Genomic DNA, 24,428 nt, shown 5'->3' with positions numbered 1-24,428 from the left:
CTGCAAAATGCCTTAGGACACAAGTGATGTCAAATAAACTTGAATATCTCCTTCACGATCGAGAATGCTGCTAATGAGCATGAATCTCAACATCTTTATAATACAGAATGAGAGTCACTGGGCAGACTTTCAACATTCTAGATAAAACCCAGATAACAAAAAAAAATATCCTAAGTAAGTTTACTTATTTGCCTCTTTTCTGCAAAAAATAAATGAAGTAAATTGAAGGAAGAAAATAAATCCAAAGAATCAATATCCATGCTAAATTAAGATACAGTTGGGAGTCTTTTTCCTGGTTGGTTAATCATCACGAAAATGGCATTGCTTATCAGATTTTCAGCCTGACTGACATCTGCCTCAGTTTCTATGTTCACTTTCTATTATTTCCTCCAACTGTCTGCTCTAGTTATTATTATCATAGATAGGTAATACTTTTCAGATTAAAATGCTGTGTCACAGTGAATCATAACAAACTTCTGCAGTAAACATCAACCACATTTTACAAATGAAGAAACTGAGGTTCCAAGTTTCAAGCGGCAGAGCAAGCAGTAAGGCTTAGCTCCTCCTCCTTTGCATCCTTGTCTCCTTCCTTTCATTAAGCATGTAATTATTTAGCCCCAGCTGAATGACACTAAGTACTAGGGACACAACATCCAATTACACAGAGTCCTAGCCCAATCTGACTCCAAATGCAGCACCCTTTCTACCGTACCACCACTGCCTCCCATTCTAAATAAACCTTTTAACTGCTGTCACTCTACCCCTGACCACACCTCCTGGAACCTCGGCCTTTACCTGGGCCACAATGGAGCTGCTTCAGAAAAATCTTACCTTTAGGCTATTTACTCAGCTTCACCTATTGCCGAACATGGGGTTCCTGTCAAAAAAAATCTAACACTTTGTCTAGAGAGAGGTTGTGCCCACCCCAGCAATGATCCCAGTAAGCCCCAATCAGAATATAGTCAACGTCCTCCATAGGGTCCTCAGGGAGCCCAGGCAGACTTGCTAACCCCAGGAGCAACGCTGCTCCACAGAGGTAGAGAACACGCCTGAGCCAGAACCCACAGCCATGATCTCATAGAATTCTCCCAACCACTGGGGAAGTATGCGATATCTCATTTTATAGATGAGGAAATTGAGGTTCCAAGAGAGAACCAACACACATCCAAGGTCCCACAGTTATCCATGACCAAGCTGACACTGAAATGAAATCTACTCTGATGCCAAAGTCAGATTCCCAACCTTAAGTAAATTATACTATTATCTGAAGAAAAATGAAAATCAGGGAATGAGTGGAATGTAAGGAGTATATGAAGGCATTTCCAAGACCGCCCCTTGGATTCCACTACTTCTGCAAAGCTAACTGCAAATCTTTGAGCTGGAAGGTAACTTCTAGAACAAATGGCCCAATGGTCTCATTTTCCAGGTTAGGAAATGAAGACAGGGAGAGCAAGTAATGTGGTCAGTCACCCAGTCAGATGATGACAAAGTCCAGGGTTAATTCCAGGTCTCATGACTCTCTTGGTTAAGTTCTCTGCTCAGCAAGTCAAACAGCCTTGACTCACCTGAGCCTGAGAGAATTGAATCATCACAGGCAAAATATTGCTTTCTTGGTGGAATATTTACTTCTTTGAATCAACTATGTAGACAGGGTCCGACTCCTAAGACCTCCCCAGTTCTCAGTGTCATTTGGCCTGAGATTCTCCCGAGTTCCAACAGGTCTTGAAGCCTCCAGAAGCCACAGGAGTCCCATCTTGGTGCCCTGGGTGATGAAGACGGAGGTCACAGGAAACCCCAGCACCTCGCAGCCCGGCTCTCCTGTCTGACCCGCATTCCCAGAATCACTTTACAGCAGGGGCCAAAGATCAAAAATTTTATGGGCGCTTGGGGAATTATTCCTCCCCATCCCATCTGCCCTTTCATCTGCACACCCACTGCCCCAGAATAGCAAACAGCTCATTGCTGCTAAGCTGTTTCTCGAAAGACTTCACAGCAGGAAAACAGAGGCTAGAAATATTTCAAAAGCTTGGCCACAGCTGTCTGCAGGAGCCCATTTGAAAGCCTTTGTGCAGAAAATCTCCTTCTTTCTTTAAAGTGCCAGCCACTGGTTTTGCTCTGCTCAGAAGATTGCAGCATCACTGTCAGCCTTCGGGTCTCCTGCCCACCTGGGTCTGTCCAAGGTGACGTTGCAGGACCCACTGCTTAATGGTAGAAATCCCATGAAGGAATAGGGGTTTCTACACCTTCCTGCCCAAGCACATTTGGTCTGAGAGGGATTCCTACTCCAGCCTTGAGAGGGCTTCACCTATCGCAGCTCATCCTTTCACTGGTGGTCATGGCAGAAGCTCAGGCTTCACTCTCACCCATGCGTGTCCTGGTGCCCCATTGCTCTGGTTCTTTCTGGGCTACTGATGCATTTGCCGTCCCTGAGGATAAACCAGAGTAGAAGCAGCCTCTCTGTAAAGGCGGAAGGGAAGGCCTTTCTGTTTGATTCCTTGATGGGTAAATTTCCCAGGTTAAAGAATACAGTCATGGGTGATGAATGAAAAAATCGCCTGTTGGGTACAATGTATATTGTATGGGTGATAGGCACACTAAAAGCCTAGACTTCACCACTATATAATTCATCCGTGTAACCAAAAACCACTTATATTCCTAAAGATATTCAAACATTTTTTAAAAATGAATAAAGGCAGAGCAGGACCTTCCTTAGACCTGGGCATTAAGGGTCCCTGCCCTGGATCCACCCTGGCCCTTCTCCAGCCATTCTTCCTCCCATGAAGTGAGGAGGGTGCAAGCTGGGGGGACTTACACACTTGGAGCCCACATCTCCCTTTCTGGACTATGCTCTGGCACACAGGATCCCAGAAATCCCTGCCCAAATGCTCCTGAGCCTGCTTCCCAGCCTGCGTGGTCCTCATCCCTGGGTTTATCCTCTCCAGGCCAGACAGTACCGACATGGCAGCCCTAGGTCCAAGGGGTAGCCAAAGGATGGCTGTAAGCAGCAATTTTGTGAGGTAGCATGGCCACAGCTTGGGTGTGTGAGGCCCAGCCAGGGAAGGAAGAGGAGTGAGCTGACCAGGGCCCCCGAGTCTGGAGTCAGCCTTTCCTAGGCCACCTGGTACCAGTGCAGAGTGGAGAAATCCAAGTTATGAAGGCATCCTTGTCAGGGTAGGAGGATTAAAAAGAGTTCAAACAGTTTTGGTTTTTTTGTTTTTTGTTTTTGAGACAGAGTCTCACTCTGTCGCCCAGGCTGGAGTGCAGTGGCGCGATCTCTGCTCACTGTGGCCTCCACCTCCCAGGTTCAAGTGATTCTCCTTCTCAGCCTCCAGAGTAGCTGGGATTACAGGCATGCGCCACCACACCTGTCTAATTTTTGCATTTTTACTAGAGGTGGGTTTCACCATCTTGGCCAGGCTGATCTCCAACTCCTGACCTCAGGTGATCCACCCACATCAGCCTCTCAAAGTGCTGAGATTACAGGCATGAACTTAGAACAGTTTTGTAGCTTGGTTTGTAACTTTCCAATATTCAGTCACGTGGTATGTGGAATTTTTTTCCTCCTCTTGTTCCCTGGTCTCACAAATGTTAGGGGTGGGCCTGAGGCAGGATTCATCCCAGAGTAAACAAGGATCAAGCTCATTTTGTGCATTCATCTATTCAATTAGAACTTAACCCCTGGCATGTGCTAAGCATCGTGCGAGGGACTAGGTACCCCATGGTGAACTAGGTGATTACAGTCTGTCCAGGATGGGAGGCAGTGGCCATTGAATGAGAAAAGCCAGAGGGATGGGACAGGATAGCGGCCAGTCAGTGCCAGGGACGAGACTGCAGGAGGGAGGCACTGATGTTGCAGTGCGCAGTCTGCACTCTCATGATCAGATCAAATTCAACTAGTAATTCTTAGAGGCCTATAATTAGCAATTAAAGTAAATTAATTCAACAATCCCATACTGTCTATTTAGCCTGGCACTATGGTAAGCTTTGGGAGACCAAAGACAACAAACCCTACCTTGACGGTGTCAATTCTAGACACATATGAATATGGATACAATGAACGCAGGGTCAAGAGCAGGGGAATGGCAGCAGTGCAAGCTAGGAGTTGTGAGAACACAGAGGGAGACATGGTTCTTCCCTCTAGGCTTTCAGGAGTGGCTTTATACCGGAGATAACACTGCAGCTGAGTTTTTCAGGATAAAGTCGAATTTTCAAAGAACACGGGAGCATGGAAAGACATTCTTGTTGAGGGAAGGTCTGTGCAAAGGCACTGAGACAAGCCACTTTGTTGAGTGCGAGGGAATGACAAGTGACCCCACCCAACCTCAACAATGGACATGTAAGGATGTCGGGACAAGCTACAGAGGGAGGCTGGGACCCAATTTTGGCAGGCCTTGTCTACCAGCCTCAAGAGTCTGATAGTTCTGGAGGAACAGGGAAACGTTTTCCAATAATCACTTTGTCCGGCTTTTATGGCTGCAGGAATCATGGCATTTATGGTGAAAACACCTCTCTACGGACTTCACCTATGACTCCCTAAAGCCCAAGCTCCCCTTGCCAGCTTCCAGTTACCAGAGGCGCTGGAAGAAAATGAAAGCAAAGAGACCAGAAAAGGGCTATGTTAATAATGTAGCCAAAAGAATATGAGGTAGAAAAACAAGATTTTAGACTTGGCAACTCTGAGTTTTGATCTAAACTGCAAAGACAATCATTTGTGTCCAACTCCTTCCTCCTGGCCACCTTGTAATAGCGAAGGATCGTTGGTTGTAAGCAGCAGACAGCAACACTGACTTATCTCAAGCAGAACTGGCATTTATCACATGGCTACATAGCAGCTGACAGAATTTAGGGGAAGGCTGAAGAGGCAGACTCTTGATTGCAATTTCAGGGTGAGTGCATCTGATGATCTAGTTTGGGTCACTTTCTTGGTCCTTTCCTAGGGGAGGGCAGGTCACTCTGATAAGCAGACTCATGAAATTCTCCAACTGGGAAGCAAAGCATTCTCAAAGTAAAGAGACGGCAGGGACTCAGGCTGTCTTGTTCACTAAGTATCCCCAGTGCCTAGAAGGGTGCTGGACATCTAGAACATGCCCAGTAAATATCTACTGCTGGCAGGAAGTCATGTAGCAAAAATGACAGCTGTCCATACTACCTTCACTGGATCCCTCTTGCATACCACTGATGTATCTGCCCTCCTAGGATACTGGGAGACTGTCAGGACACTGAGCACACCCCCGAATGTTTGGGGAACTTGTAAATCCATCCTCAGCTCCTCCTCAACCCAACTGATATCCCTGTGCCAAATTTTCAACTGTCCCAGGGTAATTTCCCTGGAATTTCTTAAAGCTGATTATAATTTCCTGTTGGATGGGATGTTTGAGATTTTTGGCTTTCATTTCTTCCGGAAGTTATTTTTCAAGATCCTTTCTCTCCCCAGGTTCTGGCACCATAAGCCTTCTTGCCTTCCTGTTGTTGGCCTTGCTGGGGAGGTGGGGGAAGGGGTGGTGATTATTTAACTTTTTGGTGATTTTTGCACTCTTTTCCCATCCAAGGCACTCTGCAAGGCATTCACAATGGGCAGTGTTCCTTTCATTATGAGGTACCTTCTCAGAAGTCAAGGCCACTGACAAAGCAAAGTTTGTCCCCAGATTTCAGGACATGTGCTCCAAAGTACATGTGAAAGCTGCTGTCATCCAAGGGAGAGCCAGCTTCTTTGTCCCAGGCATTAGATTTCAGAGCGAGAGCACGAGTTGGTGGGGGAGAGAAAGAAGAAAGAGAAAAGAGGAAAAGGGGAAGAAAGAGAAAGAGGGAAATAAAGAAAAGAGGCAATTACGTGTTTGGCATGAAATTGCTACTTTTCTAATCAAATTGGCCCAGCTCTGTTTATGGTTCAGCGTCAATATTCATTCCTCATAAAATTGAAGGTTTATGGTACCTACAAGAAACATTGAAAAATGCATGCATCCTGTAACTCCTGAAGTATGTTGACTAGATGTTTTCCATATGGATAATAGGAATATTTTGTGGAGGCGCTAGGCCAGGCTGCGTCAATGGGCTGAACAGCTATGGGGAACTTCCCCGTTTTCCTCTGTCAGGTTTAAGTTGTGGGAGTTTCAGTGGCAGAACCCCCTTTCCCATACGTAGGCTTAAAACTCTTAACAAATTCTCGGGGATCCCAGAATAAAACCGAGACTCTGGACCATGACCTTCCAAGCTACCCCCTCTGCATACCTGTCCCTCACTTTGCCTACCCACACTGGCCTCCTCCCCATCCCCAAGCTCTGCCCAGTGGGAGGACACCTGTGCTTGCTGTCCCCTGTGCCTGGCGTGTTTTGCCCCTTGCTCGTCATCTGTGGTTTCTTCTTCTCCCTTCAGGCCACAACTAAAACATCCTTTCTTCAAAGACCGATTCCTTCTCCTCTGTTACTCCCCATCAGATCACCCTATTTGGTTCCCTCGCTGGACTTTACCTGAAGATGTCATGTGCGTGCATTTGTCTTTGTGTCTCCTCAGTGGGATGTGAGCACCACGACAGAGCCACCTGCCCCATCTATTTCCTGCTTCATCTCTGTGCCTGGCACTTTTTAGCGGCTCAGTGGATGTTTCCTGATCAAGACAGCTTGTTGGGTCAAGTTGGTCATCTTGTCCATCCAGAGAGAAATTCCACTCATTTGGCTCTCCTGCTCAGCTTTTTAGCACCAGTGCATGAAGCATTTTAACCCTGGGTGTCCCTGTTTCTGGAGGAGGTGACAGACAGAGACTAACTCATGGTCCTGCACTCCAGCCCAACCTCACTCCTGGCAGTGTGACCCTGCCTGCCCTAGGACCCACATTTTCTTCCTCTCTCAAAAAGGAAGTATTATTGCTTCTCTAGTAGCCCTCTCAGGTGATCTGCTGAGCGTGGTGTCAGTGACATCTTACAAAGCCATCCTTAAGCCTTCCAAGAAGTGTAATGGGGGAGGCTTGACTGAGCTCTGTGTGTCCATGTATTAACTCAATGCCCCAGAAAAGGCATTGAAACCCCCTTAGCCTCAGTTTCTTCATCTGTGAGACGGGCACAATAACATAAGGCTCCCAAGAGAACAAGCATTTGCAGATGAACTGTCCTCCCTGTGAAGAGCTATAAGATGGACGACACTGTGATCAGGAATGGAAGCGCCAATCCTCTGTTTCATATGAGCACCTGTATCCTCCAAACCCCCTTCCCATATGCACAGTAGAAACATAAAACTTTAGAGCAGAAGGGACTTTGGCAGTCATCTAAAGATGAGGTTTTTTTTTTTTAGCTTTTCTCCATTTTTAATTGTGGTAAAATAAACATAACATACAATTTACTATGTTAGATTTTTAAGTGTACACTTCAATGGCATTAAATACATTCACATCGGTTGTGCAACCATCACCACCATCCATCTCCAGAACTCTTCAGTTTACAAAACTGAAATTCTAGACCCATTAAATAACAACTCCCCATTCTCCTTCTCTCCATTCCCTGGCAGTCACCATTCTTTCTGTCTCTATGAATTTTACTACTCTAGGTACCTCATGTAAGTGGAATCATAACAGTATTTGTCTTTTTATGACTGGCTTATTTCACTTAGTATAATATCCTTGGGTCCATTTATATTGTAATACATATCAGAATTTAAGGCTGAATATTCCATTATATGTATATATGCCACATTTTCTTTATCCATTCACGTGACTAGGAACACACAAGTTGCATCTACCGTTTGTTGATTGTGAATAATGCTATGAACATGGATGTAGAGATATCTCTTTGAGACCCTGCTTTCAATTCCTTGGGTATATGCCCAGAAATATAATTGCTGGATCATATAGTAATCCTATTTTTAATTTTTGGAGGAACCACCGTCCTGGTTTACAAAGCGACCGGACTTTACATTCCCACCAATACAAGAGTTCCAATTTCTCCACATCCTTGCCAATACTTGCTATTTTCTGGTTTTGATAGTAGCCATCCTAATGGGTATAAGGTGATACCTACTGTGATTTTGATTTGCATTTCCCTAATAATTAATGCTGTATTACACATCTTTTCATGTGCTTGCCGGACATTTATGTCTTCTTTGGAGAAATGTATATTCAAGTCCATTGCCTATTTTTAGTTTTTTGGTATGTTTTTTCTTGTGGCATTGTAGTTCTTTATATATTCTAGATATTAACTTTTTACTAAACATATGGCTTGCAAATAGTTTTTCGTATTCCACAGGTTGCGTTTTCATTCTATTGTGTCATTAGATGCGCAGAAATTTTTTATTTTTCTATAGTTCAATGTATCTATTTTTTTCTTTTGTTATGTATGCTTTTGGAGTCACATCCAATGTCATGAAGATTTTCTGCTATGTTTTCTTCGAAGAGTTTTATAGTTTTAGCTCTTGTGTTTAGGTCTTTGATCCATTTTGAGTTAATTTTTGAATATGGTATAAGGTGAGGGTACAACTTCACTCTTTTGCATATGATAAAGATGACTTTTGAGAGAAAACTGAGCCCAGAACAGGGAAGCAGTCTGCTCAAAGTAAAGGAGCTGAATAGAGACGCAGCAGGGGGAAAACCCAAGGTTCCTGTGTCTTAGTCATAAGTATTCTCTACTCTTCTAGGAAGTAGACACTCTAGGAGAATGTGACCCTGGGCATTACTGTTCTGTCTCATCAGAAACAACTGGGGAAACAAAATGGGATATTGGAGCTGATGGGTTTCCCTCCAGTGAGGTTGGCCAGTCCCAAGTTCAGACCACTGTGCCAGGAGAAGGAGCAGGTGACGGGCGTTTCTTAGGTAAGAGCATTCTTCAGGACACCTGTGACCACCAGGTGTGAACAGCAACCACAGAAAATCCCCAATATCCCCAATAATCACAAAGTCTCTGATGTGCCCATTCAACTTTTTCTGCAAAAACGCTGGCTCTGTGTTCAGTCGCATGGCCATTTGGTAGAATGCAGCTTTTGTTCACTAATAGTAGCAGGGAAATGTTAGTGGCCTTCCATGTCTACATTCTTTGTGCCCAGAGGCCAGTAAACCTGAGACAATGTGTATTCTGAAGCATTATCTTGAGTTAAAAAAGGAAGGTTTGGGGCTTTGATAAACCTATTGGGCTAAGGCAGGGACTGGCAAATCACAGCCCACCGGCTAAACCTTTTCCCCCCTTCTTTGAAACAGAGTCTCATTCTGTCACCCCGGTTGGAGTGCAGTGGTGCAATCTTGGCTCACTGCAACCTCTGCCTCCTGGGTTCAAGCGATTCTCGTGCCTCAGCCTCCCGAGTAGGTGAGATTACAGGCACACACCACCACACCTGGCTAATTTTTTGTATTTTTAGTACAGACGGGGTTTCGCCATGTTGCCCAGGCTGGTCTCGAACTCCTGAGCTCAGGCAATCCACCCGCCTCGGCCTCCCCAAGTGCTAGGATTACAGACGTGAGCCACTGCACCCGGCCAAATAGTTTTATTGGAACAGAGTCATGTTTGTTTATGTATTGTTTATGGCTTTTTCACTTCAGTGGCAGAGCAGAGTAATTGTGACAGATGTATGGCCCACAAAGCCTAAACGAATTACTGTCTGACCTACAAAAACTGGTTTGCCAACCCCTGGACTAGGGTAACAAGAAAAAGTTGAATGGGCACATCAGAGACTTTGTGACCATTGGGGCTGGCTGGAGTGTGATTTTTTACCACAGCGGGAAATGCACTAGTGCCAACTAAAGGAATGTGCTAGCTATTCTGTGCTCTCAGACTCCTTCCCTATTCTCAGCCCAGAGGCGAACTTATTTCTAAGCTCTTGTTGTAAAGTCTCTGAGCACAGAGAAGAGGGTAAGAGCCCCGTGGAAGCCAGATCCCAGCCTGCACCACATTCATTGGCCACATTGTCAACACACATGATGAGGTTCACAGTCTAAAGGCAAAATAGCAACTTAGAAGTAAGGGTCTAACCACATGAGATGGAAGGTGAGTTGCTGCCTGACATCGTCGTTATCTTCAGCTTTCTTACATGTGTAATTAATAACTCATCACTCTCAAAATTGATATTAATCAGTTTTCACTTCAATGGGGTTGTGAACAATTCCCAAACTTCTCAGCGTGATTTAATAGAAAGTGCCAGAAAGACAAAGGTCCAAATAACTCTCAGCTCTGCCACTGTGAGCTGGCCTTAGAATAGTGACCCGAATCCGCTCACTTCGATTTCCTCATCCATAAACAGGAGAACAACTCTAAAAGCTGCTGTGAGAATTCAGTATGAGAAGGGACATGAAACTTCTGGGACCTTCCACAAATGCTACTTTCCTTTCCTTAGTCTATCTGACACCACCCACAAACAGCAACTTCCCCTCCGGGGACCAAGCCTCCAAAGCCGCACATCCTGGTGTTTCCTTCTCTTCTCCCCTCACACTCATTGGCTGTAGCACAAACAGCAGGCTCCAGTAGCCTCCAAACATGAACAGACAATTGTCTAATGTGTAAGGAATTTTCAAAATACAACTAGTCATTTTTTCCTTTGGGCGAAATGTCTATTCTTTGGAAGATGCCGTTAGGCTTAGCCCACTGGAGATGCCCAGCTCCAGGAAGTATGTCCTGAAGCTTTAGGTCATTGCCACTCCTAAGGATCCCTGGGGATGAGGCCAGTTCCAACACTAAGCAGTTCTTCTCCAGTGCTGACTCAAACTCCTAGTTTGGTCTCAGAACTGACTGCTTTCCCGAGGCTCACAGACAGCATCTGAGAACACCAGAATGCCACAGCTCCCAGCTTCTATTTCCTGATCCCACCTTCATCAGCCATTTCTGTAAGTCCAGATGCTGAGGCCTTCAGTGAGTTCATGAGAGTATTTACCGCAGTGTTGTTTATTATAGCAAAATACTGCTGGACATTAAGACACTAGGTACTGGATAAAACAATCATGCCCCTACACAGATATTGAGATGTGTGTTAGACCCCATTCATTGAAATGAAGATATTTGCCATATATTTAAATAAAAACAGCAGCCTTCAAAATCATGTGAATAAGTTTATTTTTATAAAATACAAATATTTACTCACCTGTGTATATGGGCACAGGAAAAAATGTAACGACGTAAAAATAGTAGTTTCCTAATGTTATAGATGGATTGCTTCTTTTATGTATTTGTGAATTTTCTTATGTAAGAGTTGTATTTCAAAATTTCCTTTATAATAGGGAAAATGTATAATGCTACTTCCCATTTGAGGGGAAAAAAAAAAAGACAAGGTGGTCTCCTTCAATATATTTATGTAAATACGGAGAAAATAGACTCTGCCCTCCAGGGGATACGCTTTATCATACAAAGAGGGTGACAGCAAAAGAGCTAGATGATGAAACTCCAAGTTTTGATTCATTCTTTTCATTATGTTCAAAAATTGTGAGTTTCTAGAATTAGACTTATGGAATATACATGCTAGAAGGTCCTGCAGAGACCAACAGTGCACAGGTTTTCTGATGGCTGGAGCAGATGCATGGCTTGCTGGGGTCACACAGCCAGCCCAGGACTCTTCTTCTCACTCTCGACAGTCTCCTGTCCTGGTCCTTCAACCTTTATCTTTCAAGGACTCTGACTTTGGCCCAACCTCCTGCACCCCCAGCTTCTACTTGGCCTCTTTCCTGTAGCCATCCACACCCTGGGGAAACAAATGTGAGTCGACTGTGGGCCAAAGGGGACCTGCTGTTACCAAAAGGAAAGGAACCCTGACTGGGGCTTAGGAGATCCATGTTCTGGTTTATGGGCTGAGCCCTGCCTGGTGACCTAAACCTGCCTGAACCCCAGCTTGTTCGTAACAGCAATTAACCAAAGCCATTCGACCCAACAAGACCATGGAAAGGATCCAAGCAAATGATATCGCTGTGCCTCAAATGAAGTCACATCCTATGACTGTTAGGTATGCTGAATGTGGTTATTCAATGGATCTGCTCAATATAGTCTAACGTACTTTTTTTTTTTTTTAACAACGACAACAACAAAAAAAACAAGCCACTCATGCCAGATGCTGAAGACTTTAATGCTATGAGAAGAACAATGAGCTGTAAGTGTAGAAATTACAAGGGATAGAAAGAAAAGCAATCATCAATACAAATTTTACAGCATCTTGAATCTGAAAACATCCTAAGAGCAATCTCTTCCTTGATGAAGGCTGTGTGTGTGTGTGTGTGTGTGTGTATACATACATATATTTACATGAACTATATGTATATGTGTGTGTATTTACATGAACTACCCTTCTCAGAGCTCCTAGAGTGGTTTTTCTGGGTCTGTTACAACCTTTATCACATTCTCTCTTGTGTTGTAGTGATATAGAGCAAAAATGTAAACAAGACCTGGTGCCTTCCCTCAAGTGAGGAAGCAGTTTGATATAGACACCTCAGGGTAAGATTAAGTTACTGTGGAAGCTCATACTGGAGGAATTAATGTAGAATTGGAGACATCAAGGAAGGCTTCCTGGAAGGCATGGTGTCTGAGTCTTAAACTACAGGTTAGACTGAGCCACACATGAAGAGAAGTTAGAGGACCCAGAATTCAGGTCTTTTACTATTCAAATTGAGGCTTTCTAGTAACCAAAAGGTTGGGATACATTCTCAAAGCAGGAAACAGCATAAATTACAGCCTGCAAGACTCAGCTACCCTTGAGCGCTATATTTCATGGGCTTTTCACTACAACTGCTTTCATTTCAGATCCCTTGACTCACGCTCTGCCTCACCTTTGAGGTCTAGAGTGTAGTAGGATAATGTGGGAGCATTTTCTCTTACAGAAACAAGAACTACAGCTCAGGTGGTGGTACACATGCTCAGTTGCTGCCACACCCCTTAAGATGAGTCTTCCTATCTGGACATGAAGAAAGGCACCTGGGGCTCCACATGCCAAAAGGTATGTCTGAGGGTATGTCAGAGGCAGTCGGGCAGGTGCTGACATCTGGGGTGCCTGGCCTGCCTGGAGCTGGCACCTCAGCCCTCCTTTCTCCTTCGCACTTCTGAGTCACCGTGGGAAACTGTATCAGCCAGTGCCCATCCATCATGGGGCATCTGTCCAACATCAAAGTCTCAATGCCCTTCATTGACACAACTTGAGGCATTCCGAGGTTATCAGGGATTTGCTAGCCTGTCAGAGCCAGGGAATGGGCAGGCTGTCTGGGGAGGATGTGCCATCCAGGAGGGATGTCATTTTGATATACCTGGAAAGATGAGACACAACTGCCAGGTCTTCAGGAGGGCACTCCCATCCCCACCCCACCCCATCACAAGGACCCATTTCAAAAAAAAAAAAAAAGCCACGGGGCAGAGGGAGCTAAGAAGTGGAATTCATATTCACAACCTGAAACTCTTGACAGTTGCAGAACCTCACCAATTCTGCCAATACTGTCTCCTCACCAATTCGTTTGACAGTCATAACTTGGCATCTAAACTTCCAGGGTGGGCAAGCGCAACATTTTGGGTCAGGCAACCCTGTGCTGGAGTCCTGCTCAGCAACCAATCTGTGCCAGGTTCCAAATGAGAGAAATAGTACGTACCTCAGGGGACTGTCACAAAGTTAATGCAGATAAGGCATTTAAGGCCACCTAACACACCCTGTGGCACAGACCCTCTGGCACAGAGCAAGCCTGCCACATATGGTAGTTATTATTATGCTCATAAAATTATAAGTTGCTGGAGAATTCTGCTAATAAATTATTGACTACTAAGATTAGGGATTTTTTAAGTTATAGTTCTGCCTTCTGTTCTTTAAAACTACCTTTGATGTAAACAGGAATTCTAACAATTTAGAAGCTCAGGTACATAGTTAAATCAGTAACATATGCATTTTTGCACATTCATGTTTTGGTTTTATTTTCTAAGCCTTCTAAACAAACCCATCAAAAACCTCTCTTTCTAAGCTACTATTATGTCCTCCCTCAAAAATAAAACATTAAAATTTTTATTAAAAAGAGATTCATTTTCCTTTCGGGCCACAGAGTGACCCAGCTAGCATCATTGCAAGAGATCACATTTGCAGTAACTGAAATGACAGATGCTGTCAGTGAAACTGAAGAGGCCTCAGGAGTATTGTTGTGGTTTGGCTAAATGATGATCAGATGAAATATCATTGGTTGAGTCTTACTAAGGATGTCTTCGCATTAGAGCTATTTGCAAAAAAAGTGACATGAAGTCAGCATGGGCTTGCTGTTTTTCTCGTGCATGTTTTTCATTTTGATATTATATCATGAACAGCTGTAAGGATAATGTTACTCGTCCCTTCTGGAAACATTAATCACAAGGGTTTATTTATTATTTGGTTTAAGTATTTAAAAGTTAAAACATTTCCAAGCTGTCACTGTTGAAATATTTCTAATATTGCAAAACAGCAATTATTTCAGAGAGGGTATTGTTAAGATTTCCACTTCAGAAAGAAAATAATAACCAATGTTCTATGGGTTAGGTTAATGAGAATGAAAGGTACATTGGGATTGGTACTTTTTTTCCTTGTGAACTAAAAATTGGGGCATATAAAAATGGAGCTACAAATTTGACTATTGTATGGATAATTGACTTGGGAGTTACTGATAAGATAGAAGCTCTATGGCTTTTGCAACACTAAAAGAATATCTTATAGTCATACATGACTTTGCAAAGTATATTCTGTTTTTAATCCCAACTTCCCAGTTGTCCTATAAATTAAGCATTTATAATACTATAAATTCATGGATAAAGAAATTTTTATGGCTTGCACAAGATCAGCCGGTTACCATTTTGTTTGTTTGTTTGTTTGTTTGTTTTTTGAGACAGTTTTGTTCTTGTTGCCCAGGCTAGAGTGCAATGGCGTGGTCTCGGCTCACTGCAACCTCCGCCTCTCGGGTTTAAGTGATTCTCGTGCGTCAGCCTCCCAAGTAGCTGGGACTGCAGGCATGTGCCACCACACCTGGCTAATTTTTGTATTTTTAGTAGAGATGGGGTTTCGTCATGTTGGCCAGGCTGGTCTTGAACTCCTGACCTCAGATGATCCACCCACCTTGGCCTCCCAAAGTGCTGGGATTACAGGCATGAGCCACTATGCCCGGTCCAGCCAGTTAATTTTTTAAAAAAATAATTGATATGCCAGACATTGTGCTGTGTTAGGCAGAGCTTCCAGTAAGCCAGACTGTGTGAGTTAGGAAGGAGAAGGCAGGCCCAGGCCTCTTGGCTTGGCAAACTGGGAACAGGCTGCATTTCAGCACTCTCACCCCCAATATCCAGGCAGTTCTGTGCAGGGCATAGGTTGTCCAACCGCATAAGAAAAGCCCAGTGCTGCAGCTCGGGAATACAGCAATAGACCAAAAAGGGCACAGTCTTAGACCTTAGCAGTTAATAATCACCCCACTAAAAAAAAAAAAAAAAAAAAAAAAAAAAAAAAAAAAAAAAAAAAAAAATCACAAAGAACAGAGACACACCCATCCTGGGTGTGTCCATGGCCAATGCATTCTCTCCTGTGTCTCTTTTTCTGATTATGTGTGCTTGGGCGGGGTTGGGGGAGATATTGTTTGTGTGTGTTGTTTGTGGCTTATACAACTGAAATTTATTTTCTTACTGTTCTGGAGGCTGGAAGTCCAAGACCACGGTGATGGCTGGTTGTGTTCTTCTGAGGGCCTCTCTCCTTGGTTTATAGATAGCTGTCTTCTAGTGTCTTCACATCATCTTTCCTCTGTCTCTTGCCCTAATTATCTCCTTTATTTTTGAATTTTTAACTTTTGTTTTATAATTGACACAATAATTTTGTTTGTTTTGGGGTTACAGTATGAAATTTCAATACATGTGGACATCGTATAATGATTCAAATCAGGGTAGTGTATCCATCACCTCAAACCTTGATCATCTCTTTATGGTGGTAACTTTTAAGACCCTCTCTTCTAGCTATCAGTCTAGGCTTCTCTCGATTCTGTGGGCTGAGGGGGTTTCTCTGCTTCCTCCCAAGTTCTGGTGAATTTAGGGTGGTATTCTGGTTTTTGAATAGTTTCTAGTTGTACTTTTGTTGGGGGTGGGAGAGTGATGGTATTCTACCATCTTGCTGATACCATCCCCTGATTATATTTTGAAATTTGAGTTTCTCATTTATAGTTCCATGTATGAAACCCAAGCAGACTCTGAATGTGCAGCAAAGTCTCACTACCACTGCCCAGCTCTTCTTGGTCCTCCAGGCCAAGTATTGCCTTTGCTACTTGAAAATGCACCATAAAAGGCAGCTCTCAGTTTCTCAGTTCCAAAGCAACGCTCATCAAATCTTCCTTTCCTCCACAGTAAACTATAACATGTAGAAAGTGTGAAAAAACCATCTCCCCATCCCGTATGGACTTAAAAAGAACTTATTTCATACAAATCTTAAGAGAGACGTGGCAAAACAGCAACTTATAAAATTTGTTACTACAGAGCAATACTTTCAGAAAATGGAATTTTTTAATGAACGATTTGACTGGACTTCCTAATTATATCTTTAAAAATGAGATCCCTGGGTGCTGAGAGGCTAGGATTTTCCCTGAGACATGATAAGAAAATCTAAGAATGCTGAAAGAATTGAAGGCATGACTTTGTAGAAACTGGGTTGGGACCATCTCAAAGCAACAATAAAGGATGTTCTGTCCCCAGTGACTGTGCTTCTCCTAGTTTGGATTGCTTTGTAGTTCAAATCGGGGGTTGTCCTTGGCAGGGCTCCATTGCATGTGCCATTGCTCCCCCATCCCTGATCACAAGGATGGAGTTATTTGCTCCCCTACAGCCTGGCAAGAAAGCCATCCCTCCTTCAGTGGCACCCTGGTGCTTTGATCTGAGGCAGGGTCAGAGGCACCCTCTCCTGAGACAGGGTGGCCAGCAAAGCTGGATTTCCAAACTCCAGAGACCCCATTTAGAAGGCATTTCCATGTTCCTGCTACCTGAAGCGCCTCCGCTTCATTTGCTCTGGGAGGCCTGTTCTGCCTCACGTGTGGCCTTAAAGTGAAACCAACTGATGGATGTGAATGGTTCTCAAGTCCAGTACAGATGTGTCCAAATGCGCACTCACCTGTTGGTCACTGGCTCTAATTGGTCCATGGACAGGCTAGACGGCATCAAGGTGTGAAGAAAAGAGCTTGGGCTTTAGAGCCAACCGTGACTCATCACCTCCCAGTGTCAAGGCCTTGGAAAGATACCCAGCTCTCTGGAGCCTCGGTTTCCTCCAAGGTAGAAGACAGCAGACAGCACCATTTAAAAAAAAAAAAAAAAAAAAAGAAAAGAAAAAAAAGCAACAATAACAAAGCCTGCCCTGCATGGTCCTTAGAAGGTTTAATATCATGACTGTCAGGGCCCAGCCACTTCCCAGCTCAACAATTAGTAACTATGGTTATCATCGTCTCAGCTCTTGCTCTGGGATTTTTCTGGCAATTTTCTAGTATCTAGGGCTGGTTTGTATCAAGAAACAAAGTATTTCCTGTCTGCCCCTTGGTTCTCACCACTGAGCTTCCCCCACAGAGAAGACCTCAGGAACAAGGCCCTTTCTTGGCGCTTCTTTGTCCCTCCACGGGGTCAGACAGTGCAGGTGCCACCGCAGAGGCAGGTGTCTGGAGGACAACAGACACAAGCAGAGCAAGTTTCCTCCTTGATCTGAAGGATATTCCTCCCACATCCCCCCCCAACCCCGCCCTTTTTTCTTGTTTTTTGTTTTTATCCTCAAAGCTGCAAACAGGTTGATTGGTTTGTCTGTTTTTCTAAAGTGAGAGTCCTTAAGGTTGCAGTGGCTGAAATGGCCTGTTAAGGAGTGTGTGGCCTGAGAGAGGCTGCCCCTCTCTGCAGTTGGGCATGGTCTACACAGGCAGCCTGAGCCCCGCTGAGGGTCCTGCACACACACCCGCACCCACACATGAGCTGAGGCTCACTTATAACTCTTTCACCTCAGTCTTTGCCACCGTCTCACAGTCTGCTGCCCAGGTCTGAACACTGCTGTAGGACCCCCTCTCCCTCTCTCTCCTTCACACTGGCATGCACACTCTCCTCCTTGATTCTTCCTCTCCTTTTCCTCCTCACAGCTCTCTGCCTTCTGCTTTTCCCTGGGTCTTTTCTAGGCTCTGTGTCCTCTCTGGTCGTCAGTTTTGCCCTGGCCAAGCCTTTTCCCTGCCCCCAACCCCTTGTTCTCCTACACAATCAAAATTCCAACCCCCTCAAGCTTGGGGCAGTGAGGAGGGGGGTTCAGTCCTGAGATCCAAAGCAATTAGGGGGCCCCTTTGCTGTCCAAGAAAGTGCCAATGGCTCAGCTTAAAGAAGGCCTTGGTCTCCAGGCTCCCCCTTTCCCCCTCCTCCCCACCCTCCCAGCACTATCAATTAGAAGCAATGCTGAGCTAAATACAACTGTTCAGGGGACAAGCCTAACTGGAAATCATTAGCTTTTTACCTTTTTTTTTTTTTAATAAATCATGGTCCAAATAACCAAATAATGAATCTCTCGTTAAACAGCATAATCAATCTTCATAACCCACGGAAATACACTCTGGAAAGATTGCCTTTTACTGCTGTTGAAAACCTCAGTTTCATCAAATAAAGGAACAAATTGCCATTCAGGAAATTATTCTTGGGCTAAAATATGCAATCAACACTTAGCTTCCCACCTGCACAGTCCTAGAATGCACGTGGGGTAATGACATTTGACATGGGGCTTGTTACACTCCTGACCCAGGAGAAAGGTTTTCATATTTTTAATTTGTAATGTCTGGCAAGATTCCCAAAGTAATTTTCAATTAAAGTCCCTGGTACTTGTCAAGCTCAAAGACATTGCCCAAAAGATGGAATAACTTCATTAGAGGGAGACACATTCACTTCATCAAGTATTCCAGCGGAGTGTGCAAATACTATGTTTTTCTTGTCCAAACTCTATGACTGAACAAGAAAGTCATTTTCTCTCTCTTATCCTCTAAATGGACATAAACTTAGGGGGAAGGGACTGTCTACTTCATAATCTGTCAGTGTTATCCCTGTCATTTTGAGGGGTGTCTGCTTTCTTCCCTATTTTAGCCATATTTGTTCATTCCCTTAGCTGACTCTACTTTCCCAGATGGTTTAGAGGCAAGCATTTGACCCAAATGCAGCCAATAAGAGTTCTCCAAAATGTTTCACACTGGATTTAGGAGTAAAGCTCTTTCATCTCTGTTATGTTGCTGTTAATATTGATTCAAAACTTCCCTGGAAGAAAATCCATGGAAGGAATAAAGCCCTCGTGCAGGGTAGAATCTGGAGTAGAGAGTTCTGAGCATATTTGAATCCTTGTTTTCAGCTGCCCAGAAAGTCAGCTTTACACTACCCTTTTCACAGCAAGTCATGTGAACCAATACTTGTCTCTTATTTGACTTAAGTTTATGCAGATAGAATTTCTGAAATTGCTACAAGTATTCTAATACATAAGCAATGCCAAAATAAGGATGTGTCAGAGTAAAACATTTTAAATATTAAAAAGATGTTCTAGATATTTTGTTTTAATGATTCAATCAATAACAGTATGTCTTCTGTGGGCCAGATAATTGAGGTACAAAGATAAAAAAATATGGTTATAGACTCAAGGGGCTCACAGATTGGTAAGAAATACAGAAACATTAGTCCCATTGTTACAGCGTATGTTCATAAGACGATATAAAATGCAATGAGTGATTAGCTGCACCTAGGGCATTCTGGAGGGCTTCATGTAGGAGACAGCATTTACTGAGTTTTAAAGGGTAAATACAATTCCAATAGGTAGAAAATGGTGTAAGATGTTCCAAGTGTACAGAGCGTGTGCTAAGTATCAGAGGCCCAGACACATGTGGCATTTCTTCGGAGCATCCAACATTTCAATGTGGATATAGCCCTGGTACCTGGAGGAGAGGAGAAAGGTGATAAGAGTTCAACAACAGAAGGTAGATTGGGAGCAGATGATTCAGAGCATCAGGAAAAGTAGCTAATGCATGCTAGGCTTAATACCTTGGTGATGGGTTGATAGGCACAGCAAACCACCATGGCACACGTTTACCTATGTAACAGACCTGAACATCCTGCACATTTACACCAAAACTTAAAAAAAGTTAAGTCATCTCTTGGCAAGAAGCCACGACCAGGTTTGTGTTTTAGAATTTACATTTTAAGAGTAGTTAAGAAAGTGAATGGATTACAGAAAGAAATGACTAGAAACAAGATGGCCAATAAAGAGACTCTTGTTGTAATCCAATCAAGCATCGAGAAGGGCACGAAATAGGGCTGTGGACATGGGAACGAATGTGAAAGAATACATTTGAAAAAGATTTCAGAGGCAGAATCACCGGAATGTGGCCATAATAGAAAGTGCAGAGTGGCAAGTAGGGAACAGCGAGGAGAGTCTCTGAATTTCTAGCTTGAGTGGCTGAGTGGGTAGTGATGCTGGTATTTGGAAAGAGTAACACAGGAGAGAAAACAATTCTGGGTGTAGAATTAGGAGTCAAGAAATTGGGTCTGATCTAAACTCTTCCATCAACCAAGTACCCAGCCTTGGATACGTCGGTTAACTCAAGTTTTCCTAACTCTCAATTGAAGAGGCTAGGAAACTTCATCCCTATGTTCCTTTCTAACTTCAACAGCCTGTGGGTCAAAAGACAACATGAGCAAGACAGGTCTGACAAAGTCTAAGAGTCAAAAGCACAAAGTTAAGCAGGGCATGACTGAAAGCCCTGAAATGAGCTGCAAACTCATGGGCAAAAGGTCCCATTGATCTTGCTGCACCCAGAGGCAATACCGCAGAGTAAAGGACACCTGGGTTTCGGGACACTGTGCTATGTCTTCCTAGGAGCACGCTTCATAGAATTTCATCTTTGCGTTGCTTATAGCTTGAAGGTTTGTAAGGAACCACCCTCCTCTGTAGATCTGATGTAGCCTAAGACGGTGATGCAGAGAACTGGGCAAACAAGACACTACTTGGTAAACGACGGCAGGACAACTGACTACCCATGGGGTAAAACGCAGAATTAAATCCACACCTTACACCAAACACATAACCAATTTCAGATGGACCAAGGACTTGAATGTGAAAAGCAAGACTTTTAGGATCAAATATAGGTATCTTTATAACCTTAGGACAGGGATTAACTTTAACATTTTAAATATTAATTTTAGACTTATAGAGGGGTTGCAAAAATGGTACAAAGAGTTCCTTTGTATTCTTCACCTGGCTTCCTTTTAACGTAACATCTTATGTGGTGCCATGGTATAATTATCAAAACTAAGAACATTGGTACAATACTATTATCTATAGACTTTATTAGATTAAGAAGTTGAAGACATACAAAAAATCCTCTAAACATAAAAAAAGATGGATAAATTCAACCATATTAAAACTAAGAATTTCCACGCAAAGGATACCATAAAGAAAGGTAAAAGAAAGGCAGGAAGACCACTTGAGCCCTGGAGTTTAAGACCAGCCTAGGCAACACAGCAGGACTTTGTCTCTACTAAAAGTTATTTAAAAAAAAAAAAAATTAGCCAGGCATGGTGTCTTGTTCCTGTAGTCCTATCTACTCTGGAGGCTAAGGCACCAGGATCACATGATCCCAGGAGTTTGAGGCTGCAGTGAACTGTGATCGCACCACTGTACTCCAGCCTGAGCAACAGAATGAGATCCTGTCTCAAAAAAATTTAAGGTAAAAGAGAAAAAACAAATTGGATGTGAATATTTGTGACACATATAAGAAATGAAGGATTTGAATGAGAACAAAAGAAGGGTAAGAGCCCCTACAAATTAATAAGAAGGCCAACAACCCAAAAGAAAAACATGCAGAAGATACAAATAGACATTTCACAGAAAGAGGGATATATGTGAAGGGCCAATAAACATAAAAGATTGCTTAACCTAATGAATGTCAGGAAAGTGCAAACTAAGACCGGGAGATAACAATAGCAAGTCACTGAGAAGATGTGTATCAAAATACATAGCTGGTGAGGGAGTAAATCGACACCACCCCTTTAGAAGGATGTGGTATCAGCAGGTAAAGTTGGCCAATCCTGTGCCAGAGCCTTGTCACTGAAAGTGAGGCTTGTGGATTCACAGCATTGCTGTCCCTTCCAGGACTCCTCCCAAACTGAACCAGAATTTGCATATTAATGAGATCCCCAGCTGATCCGTATAGACACTGAAGTTTGAGAAGCCACGGTCTAGAGAAATGCTTGCTCACATATAGCAGGAGAAGTGTAAGAGCATGTCCGCGGCCCTGTTCACAATGATTAAAAAGCAAGAATAGCACAAATGCCCATTGACAGTAAATGGGTAAATAAATTGTGTATAGTTACACAATGGAATATCATCCAGCCCTGAAAATGAATCAATGCCTCCTGGGTGACATAAGGATGAATCATAGCAACAAAACACCACAGAAAGTAAAAAGCCACGAAGGATCACATGCAGCATGCTTCCATTGTAGTATAGTGCAAGCACAAGCAAAACAAAATATGTTGTTCAAGAATCCATCTGTACTTCCAAAAAGTTTTTTTCTCAAATGGGAAGACAGTTATAAACAAAACACCAGACATTGCTGACTCTGGTGGCAAAGTGGAGGGATGAAGAGGTACTATGTGCACTGGCTGTGGGCAGTCATCGAGCTCTTGGGTGGCATAGGCAAGCTAACAGGTGTTTGATTATTATGCTTGTCAATGTATATATTATTTCTATTCTCATTATATATTACCTAATTTAAAAATCATTTTAAAAAACCTCCCAATGTTCCAGCATTCACAGCAGCCAAAATTATTGATCTGGGCATTAAGCAGTTTGAGTCTAATGCAAAGGGGAAGAGCAACAGATGAAACAAAGAGTAAACTAGTGGTAATAACAGTGAAGGCAGAGACACATTGTTAGAGACACAGAACTACTGTCAAAGGGCTGAGAGCCCAGGCGATCCACACAAGGCCAGGGGAAAACGGCCACCAATAGAGCAAAAGCCAGTGTGATGCTCAAAATCATGGCCCTACATTTGGGAATAATTAGATACAGGGTGAAAGATTCACGTAATGACACACAGCAGGAGAGTAAGGCATGTGTAGTGAGAGCAGAGATTCTCAAACTTGGCAGACCATTGGAATCATTTGGGGGAGTTTTTAAAATTTCAGCCTCCTAGGTTCCACCCCAGAGATTCAAATTTAATTGACATGGGATGCAGCTTTTATATTGGGACCTTTAAAAGCTCCCTCAGATGATTCTAATGTGCAGCAATTTTTTTTATTATTTTTAAGACAGCACCTTTCAAAAGCACCTATGTAGGATTACACAGTTAGCGGGTCATAATGCCTGAGGTGAGTCCCTAAAAGTGTGGGATACAACCTGAACAGATCGCGTAAGCAAACAAAAAAAACACAGAACAGAGTATCAGTAGGTATGCCAGCCCAGGACATGAGGACATGATGCGGTTATTAAGGTGTCCCCAGGAGTAACAACATCCCTTCCCTTTTGATCAATAGCTATTTAACAAGAGGATTTCTCAGCAGTGGCACTATTGACATTCTGGGCCAAATAATTTTTGGTTGTGGGGGACTATCCTATGCATGGTCGGATGTTTAGAAGTATCCCTGGGCCCTCACCCACTGGACACCTATTGTACCTTCCCAGCCGTGACAACCCAAAATGTCTCTAGACACTAACAGATCTGTTGCCCAAGCAGGCATGCAATTGGATAATGGTGCCATCTCCCCTTGCAGGCTGAGCTCATCTTTAGATGTGATTTTTTTCTTGCAGCCCCTCACACTTTGGAGGCCAGGAGAACAGGGGGAGGGGATAAAAACCACAGTATCTCCCTAAGCTAGTGAGCCACAATTAGTGTCCCCCGAAGCTAGTGAGAAGGGACTGGTTGATTGTTATAGGCTGGCCCAGGCCCTTCTCTGTAAGACCTAGGGGGTGGTTTGGCCAGTTTTCGGGGGCTTTCTTTTGGATGGGAGGTAGTAATGCCTCTTTGCCTCTAGTCTGGGGCCTTGGTGACTATTTCTAAAGAAACAAGGAAAGTACATCTTAATATCCTGTTACCAAGGTAGTTTTTAAAGTGTGTTCAAGATCCCTGCACGAGGCATGTTTGAGCAGGGGCGTTGCACAAGTTAGCCTGATATATTAACCTGTCTGCAAAGGAGCCTGTGTGCTTCTGATTGTTGTAAAATAAACACAGGGCTCTGAACTTGGGGGTGGCTGGGCTTTGTCAGGACCCAGACTGATCTTACCCATGTTGCCCTCAGCTCTGAAAAATTAGCAGAAGGCCTAGAATATGAAACTTTGCCTTTAGCAGAAAAACACAGTAAATTTCAATTTGAAGACCTTTCCCAAATTCAATAGCAAAACTATCGTGTTGCCTGGGAACAGCAGAGAAGCTGGGTCCCTTGGCCTCTAACTTCTACTTTCACATTCATGTACAGATGAAGCAATTCCCATCGACAGGAAGGCTGTAGGCAATGGCAAATATGAAGCGAGTTCAGG

The 24,428-nt window shown here is 43.5% G+C and overlaps 1 long non-coding RNA gene across 1 annotated transcript in view; it reads right to left on the bottom strand.

The window, feature by feature from the left end:
• Nucleotides 1-11,998: 11,998 nt before the first annotated feature.
• LOC105370834 (uncharacterized) overlaps nt 11,999-24,428 on the bottom strand; it is a 50,352-nt gene continuing 37,922 nt past the window's right edge. Inside the window, exons 5-6 of the long non-coding RNA XR_001751554.3 lie at nt 17,016-17,166; nt 11,999-13,185 (exon numbers count right to left, since the gene is read on the bottom strand). This is a non-coding gene — a long non-coding RNA (uncharacterized LOC105370834). The remainder of the gene's footprint in view (nt 13,186-17,015; nt 17,167-24,428) is intronic.

Source organism: Homo sapiens, chromosome 15 (genome assembly GCF_000001405.40).
Source record: "Homo sapiens chromosome 15, GRCh38.p14 Primary Assembly".
In the NCBI taxonomy this organism is placed as follows: domain Eukaryota; kingdom Metazoa; phylum Chordata; class Mammalia; order Primates; family Hominidae; genus Homo; species Homo sapiens.
This window is presented reverse-complemented; position numbering and strand designations above follow the sequence as displayed.